Genomic DNA, 7521 nt, shown 5'->3' on the forward strand with positions numbered 1-7521 from the left:
AAGGTACACACTCGGGAAATTATCCTTCCCCTAAACTCCTCACCCTGCTCCCACCCCCACCCTTTAACCCTCATTACTACTCACCTCCTGGAAGTCGTGGTACCAGCCAGGGTTCTCCAGAGAAACAGAACCAATAGGAGACTATACATGATTGATTATGGGAACTGGCTCACACTTATGGAGGCTGAGAGATCGTACACTATGCCACCTACAGCCTGGAGAACCAGGAAAGCCAATGATGTATTCAGAGTCGGAAGGCCTGAGAATGGGTGTAGCCTGGGGGTGGAGACCTATTAATAGATTTAGATTCCTAATCCATTTTGAATTTATTTCAGTATGTGGTCTAAAGTATAGATTTAATTTTCTCTTAATCTAAATGGCTAATTAGATATGCAGGTACTGTTTATTAAAAGGTAAATTTTGCCCTAGTGATTTGAGATGCTGCTTTGTTATATGCTAAATTTCCATATGTATTTGGGTCTATTTCTGGACTTTCTATTCCACTTCATTAGTTTATCCACTCATGCACCAGTACCACACTGTTTTAATTATGGAACCTTTATAGTATGTTCCAATGTCTGGTAGGGATAGTCCTTCCTTATAGAATTCCATTTTCAGTGTTTTCTTTTCCAGTGTTTAATGGTCATTCTTGCATGTTTGCTTTTCTATATAAATTTCAGTATTAATATCTCTAGCTACATAAAAATGCTTGCTGGAATGGATATTACATTTATAAAATAAGGATACCTGATATCATTATGATATTGATTCTTCCTATTTAAAAACAAGGTGTGTTCTCACTTATTTGTAGGATCCAAAAATAAAATCAATTGAACTCATGGACAGAGAGAGTAGAAAGATGTTTATGAGAGGCTGGGAAGGGGAGTGGGGATTGTGGGGGAGGTGAAGGTGGTTAATAGGTACCAAAAAACATAGAAAGAATGAATAAGGCCTACTATTTGATAGCACAATAGGACGACTATAGTCAATAATAACTTAATTGTATTTTGAAAATAACTTAAAGAATGTAATTGGATTGTTTGTAACTCAAAAGATAAATGTTTGAGGGGACAGATGGATACCCCATTCTCCATGATGTGCTTATCTCACATTGCATGCCTGTATCAAAACGTCTCATGTACCCCATAAATATTTACAATGGCTATCTACCCACAAAGATTTTTCAAATTTATAATAATAGAAAATAAAAATATAGTATGTCTCTCATTCGTTCATGTCAACTTTTCTTTTAGAATTGTTTTAAAGTTTTTCTTATGTAGATTTTGCACATTTCTTAAGTTTATTGCTATACCTTCTTTGTTGCTATTGTGAATGAGGTTTTATCATAAAACTTTCTAATTGGTTATGGCTTACGTATATGAAGACTATTGATTTCTGTACATTAGCTTTATTATCCTGCTATCTTATTTGAATCTTTTGAGCTAGTTTTATCATTGATTCTCTAAGATTCTCCAGGTATTCTTTCATGTCATCTGCAAATAGCTATAGTTTCACTTTTTTCAAATTTGTATGATTCTGCTTAGTTTATCTTATCTAGCTGTACTGTCTAAGATTATAGTACATGTTGAAGAGTAGTGGAGATAGTACAGATAGCTTTCAACAAATTACTCAGTGTTTCAGAGGGCTGATTTCCTATCCCATTTTCTCACTCCTTCTTGGCAACAGAACCCCAAACTCACTCAGTCAGCGGTGGATTCAGCTAAAGAACTGCAATCTAGATGTAACTTTACCTGGGTGTGATAATGAGACTAAATTTTGGTAAAAGAGAAATAAGTGGAATCATTATATGGTACTTTAGATCCTTCTCCTTCACCACTTTGCTACTACCTGGAATTGGGATGTAATGGCTGGACCTCTAGAGGGCTTTTTGGGCCGCAAGGTGACTTTGAGAATGGAAGCCATGCATCAGGATGGCTGCATTAGCAAGACAGAAAGAGCCTGTGTCCTTAATTATCAAGGAGCCCCATACCAAGCCAAGACTGCCTGCCACTGGACATTTTTACATGAGATAAAAAACAAATTTTTAACTTGTTTATGTTACTATTTCTTGGAGTTTCCAGTCACATGCAGCCAATCAAAATTCTAATGGAGTTTTGGTTTCTTCATCTGTAAAGTGATAGTATTTTACCTCACTGAGTTATCAGGATTAAATGAAATAGTTCATGTAAAAAAAGGCTGCATGGAGTAGGCACATTAAAAAAGTCTCCCATGATTTTGTGAGGTTTGAATGAGCTCTGTATTTGAGTGCCCTTTGCAAGTTGTCAACGGAAGGCCAACATTTTCATCTGTGCTTTGCACCTGTTCTCTTTCTTCTTTCTCAACTCTTCTATGATCAATTATCCTTTCATTTCTTGAATAGCTTACCTCTCTCTTTCAACTTGACTCTTCATGTTGATTTTAAACATTTGTGAGTTGTTCCCATTAAATCAAAACTGTCCCTTTTCCCCTCCAGCTATGATTTTGTCTTTCTCCTATTCTTCAAAGTCAAACTTTTCAAAATAATGTTTTCTTATCTGATGTATCAGACAGTGTTGGCTGTCCACCCAGACCTTTGAATCCCTGCTTTGTGTGTGTGCCTGCCCCCCTTCAGCGTGCTTTTGCTTCTAACACCCAGCACTATGGCTTCATGAGGACTGCCTTTGGGCTATGAGAACCACTCAGCTCCCACCTCCACCCTCCACAGATCCAGAAGGCCTTGGAATATATTCTAGGTAATTTCAGTACATTCCAGAAGTTCCTAGAATTTACTCAGGGTGACTCAGGGGCAATGCTTGAAAGCCACGCTCCCTCGCCTCAGGCTGGAACAACTGACACCACAGAGCTCTCCAGTGGGATCCAGGATCCGGCTGAAGCCACACTCTGCTGGCGTTTCCTGAGATTGCACCTTGGTTGGCCTCCTTCTCTTGTCTTCTTTGTTCTCCTTTCCCTCCCCTGACTGGCATTTTCTTGGGGCATTTTAATCAATCACTTGCACTTGAATGTCCCAGTCTGCATCTGAAAAACCTAACCCAAGACCCCTAATCTCCATCTCCTCCCCTCTTATTCACTCTCCAGCCCAACACAATTTGGCTTCTGGGCACATCATTCCAGGGAAGCAGCTCTTTCAGACAGCCCCCAAAACACGATGTCACTGAATCCAGTGCACACAGTTTAGTTCTGTCTTCCTTGACTTCACAGCACCATTCAATGCCACAGATCCATGGTTCTTGAAGCCCAGGTGTTCCCTGATGACGTCCCTGGCTTTCCCCTACATTTCGTGGCCTTTCTTCAGCTTGTCCTCTTCTATCCAGCCATTGAAACAGAGTGAGTTCTTTAGGCTCAGTCCTCTTTTCCCAGGTGGTCTCACCCAATCTCAGAGCTTCATTGCTACATGAAGGTTACCCACACATGTCTGTTGTAGCACTTTCTCTACTTGCTAAACATCTTTGCTTGAATGTCTCAAAAGTACCTCCAAGCTAAATTCGTAATAACCCTGTGCACAGAAGCAAGCTTGGTCCTCTTGCACTCTGCTCTAATGTGGTGAGTGTAGCACTTCTCCATCTGGCTAGAACCTGGGAGTCATGCTGGACTTCCCCCTCACCCTCGTGCACGTAGCCAACCAAGCACCAACTCCTGTGTCTTGTGCCTTCTGAGTCTCTCTCGAGTGATTCACTTTTCTCTACCACCACCTCCACTCGTGCCTTCTGTCATTCATAACCACGTTGATGGTAAAAATAGCCTCTTCACTGGCCTTTCTGCATTCATTTCTATACTCCTCTAATTTTTTCCCACATGACTGCCAGGCTGATCTTTCCAAAACATAAATTTAATTACATCTTAAAAAATAACTTGCTGAGATATAATTCACATACCACACAATTCATCTATTTAAGGCATAAAATTCATGCTTTTTAATATATTCACAGAGTTGTGCAAACATCACCACAATCTAATTTTAAGATTATTTCCATCATCCCAAAAAGAAACCCTGTATTCATTAGCAGTCACCTCCTGTTCCCCCACACCCCATTCCTGGGCAGCCACGAATCTACTTTCTGTCTCTATGGATTTGCCTATTCTGGACATTTCACATAAATACAATCATATAATACATAGTCTTTTGTGACTAGATTCTTTCACTTACTATGTTTTCAAAGTTTATCTATGTTGTAACACGTATTAGTACTTCATTTTTTTTGGCTGAATAATATTTTATTGCATGGATATATCACATTTTGTTTATTCATTAGTCACTTGATGGACATTTGGGCTGTTTCTCCTTTTCAGCTATTCTGAATAATGCTTCTGAGAGGTTCACATATAAGAGTTTTTGTTATTTTTTTTGAGATGGAGTCTTGCTCTGTTGCCCAGGCTAGAGTGCAGTGGCACTATCAGCTCACTGCAACCTCTGCCTCTGGGGTTCAAGCAATTATTGTGCCTCAGCCTCTTGAGTAGCTGAGATTACAGGTATGTGCCACCACGCCTGGCTAATTTTTGTATTTTTAGTAGAGACAGGGTTTTACCATGTTGGCCAGACTGGTCTCGAACTCCTGACATCAAGGATCTGCCCACCTCAGCCTTCCAAAGTGCTGGGATTATAGGCATGAGCCACTGTGCCTGGCCTCACATATAAGAGTTTTTGAGCGTAGATGTGTTTTCATTTCTCTCAGATATATACTTAGCAATGGAATTACTTGACCATATGCTAATTATATTATATTCTTTTACAAGCTTTTCAATGGCATTTCATGGCTGTTATGATGAATTCAGTCTCCTTTTTCTTGGTGCCCAAGTTTCCATATGGTCTGACCCTCACCTGCCTTGCTGCTGGTGTGGTCCTTGGATAGACTGTGCCATTTTTTTTGTTGATGTCTGTGTCATATTTTGGCTGGAACAATCTCAAATATTAATCTAAATCAACCTTAATCATTTACTGATTTCTATTTCTATGATATATCTATCATATATTACATGATTAGTCCAATCTTACTGTCAGACTGTGATATGGTTTGTTTGTGTCCCCACCCAAATCTCAACTTGAATTGTATCTCCCAGAATTCCCAAGTGTTGTGGCAGTGACCCAGGGGGAGGTAATTGAATCATGGGGGCCAGTCTTTCTCATCCTATTCTTGTGATAGTGAGTAAGTCTCATGAGATCTGATGGATTTATCAGGGGTTTCTGCTTTTGCTGCTTCTTCATTTTTCTCTTGCCGCCGCCATGTAAGAAGTCACCTCCTGCCATGATTTTGAGGCCTCCCCAGCTATGTGGAACTGTAGGTCCAAGTAAACTTCTTTTTCTTCCCAGTCTCAGGTATGTCTTTATCAGCAGCATGAAAACAGACTAATACAGTAAATTGGTACCAGTAGAGTGGGGTGTTGCTGAAAACATACCCAAAAATATGGAAGCCACTTTGGAATTGGGTAACAGGCAGAGGTTGGAACAGTTTGGAGGGCTCAGAAGAAGATAGGAAAATGTGGGAAAATTTGGAACTTCCTAGAGACTTGTTGAATGGCTTTGTCCAAAATGCTGATAGCAATATGGACAATAAGGTCCAGGCTGAGGTAGTCTCAGATGGAGATGAGGAACTTGTTGGGAACTGGAGTATATGTGACTCTAGTTATGTTTTAGCAAAAAGACTGGTGGCATTTTGCTCCTGCCCTAGAGATTTGTGGAACTTTGAACTTGTGAAAGATGATTTAGGGTATCTGGTGGAAGAAATTTCTAAGCAGCAAAGCATGCAAGAGGTGACTTGGGTTCTATTAAAGGCATTCAATTTTATTAGGGAAGCAGAGGAAAACTTGCAGCCTGACTATGGAATAGAAAAGAAAATTCCATTTTCTAGGGAGGAATTCAAGCCAGCTGCAGAAATTTGCATAAGTAGCAAGGAGCCTAATGTTAATCCCCAAGACCATGGGGAAAATATCTCCAGGCCATGTCAGAGACCTTTGAGACAGCCCCTCCATTCACAGGCCCAGAGGCCCAAGAGGAAAAAGTGGTTTCGTGGGCCAGGCCCAGGGTCCTCGTGCTGTGTGCAGCCTAGGGACTTGGTGCTCTGTGTCCCAGCTGCTCCAGCCATGGCTGTAAGGGGCCTACGTACAGCTCAGTTAGCAGCTTCCACGTGGTGTTGAGCCTGAGATGCACAGGAATCAAGAATTGAGGTTTGGGAACCTCCACCTAGATTTCAGAGGATGTATAGAAATGCCTGGATGCCCAGGCAAAAGTTTGCTGCAGGTGTGGGGCCCTCATGGAGAATCTCTGCTAGGACAGTGCGGAAGGGAAATGTGGGGTCACAGCCCCCACACAGAGTCCCTACTGGGGCACTGCTTAGTGGAGCTGTGAGAAGAGGGCCACATTCTCCAGACCCCAGAATCATAGATCCACTGACAGCTTGCACCGTCCACCTGGAAAAGCTGCAGACACTCAACACCAGCTTGTGAAAGCAGCTGGGAGGGAGGCTATACCCTGCAAAGCCACAGGGATGGAGCTGCCCAAGACCATGGGAACCCACCTCTTGTATCAGTGTGACCTGGATGTGAGACCTAGAGTCAAAGGAGATCATTTTGGAGCTTTAAAATTTGACTGCCCCGCTGGATTTCAGACTTGCATGTGCCCTGTAACCCCCTTGTTTTGGCCAATTTCTCCCATTTGGAATGGCTGTATTTACCCAATACCTGTACCCCCATTGTATCCAGGAAGTAACTACCTTACTTTTGATTTTACAGGCTCATAGGTGGAAGGGACTTGCCTTGTCTCAGGTGAGACTTTGGACTGTGGACTTTTGGGTTAATGCTGAAATGAGTTAAGACTTTGGGGGACTGCTGAGAAGGCATGATTGGTTTTGAAATGTGACAACATGAGATTTGGAGGGGCCATGGGTGGAATGACATGGTTTGGCTGTGTCCCCACCCAAATCTCAACTTGAATTGTATCTCCTAGAACTCCCACGTGTTGCAGGAAGGACCCAGAGGGAGGTAATTGAATCATGGGGGCCGGTCTTTCCTGTGCTATTCTCGTGATAGTGAATAAGTCTCATGAGATCTGGTGGGTTTACCAGGGGTTTCCACTTTTGCTTCTTCTTCATTTTCTCTTACCATGTAAGAAGTGCCTTTCACCTCCTGTCATGATTTTTGAGCCCTCCCCAGCCACGTGGAACTGCAAGTCCAGTTAAACCTCTGTTTCTTCCGGGTCAGGTGTATGTCTTTATCAGCAGCATGAAAACGGACTAATACAGACGGATTTCTATTTCCTCTTTTTGCTCCAGGACTTTGGGCCACAGTGGGCTTTTTTTCATCCCCTGTCTTCACTAAACTGTAGGTCTGGAAAGTTCTCTCTGGGCGTTAAAATTTTTTCAGTTAAAATATGACATAGATATCAACAAAGAAATGGCACAGCCTATCCAAAGACCATACCAGCAACTGAATAAAATTTTACTGGTGGCAGGTAACTTCTCAACAGTGGATGAGGTCAGGAGGCTTACTGGAAAGTGAACTCACCAGGGATGAGAATGTTGTTTCTCATGG

At 41.8% G+C, this 7521-nt stretch overlaps 1 annotated feature.

Annotated features, from left to right (window-relative positions):
* Window positions 3670–3769: an enhancer, noted in NCBI's record as "active region_17170". NCBI's record gives its function as "activates an Ori minimal core promoter by ATAC-STARR-seq in GM12878 lymphoblastoid cells {active_cell/tissue: GM12878}" and the evidence as "EXISTENCE:reporter gene assay evidence [ECO:0000049][PMID:35858748]".

The sequence above is a fragment of the Homo sapiens genome, chromosome 2 (genome assembly GCF_000001405.40).
Source record: "Homo sapiens chromosome 2, GRCh38.p14 Primary Assembly".
In the NCBI taxonomy this organism is placed as follows: domain Eukaryota; kingdom Metazoa; phylum Chordata; class Mammalia; order Primates; family Hominidae; genus Homo; species Homo sapiens.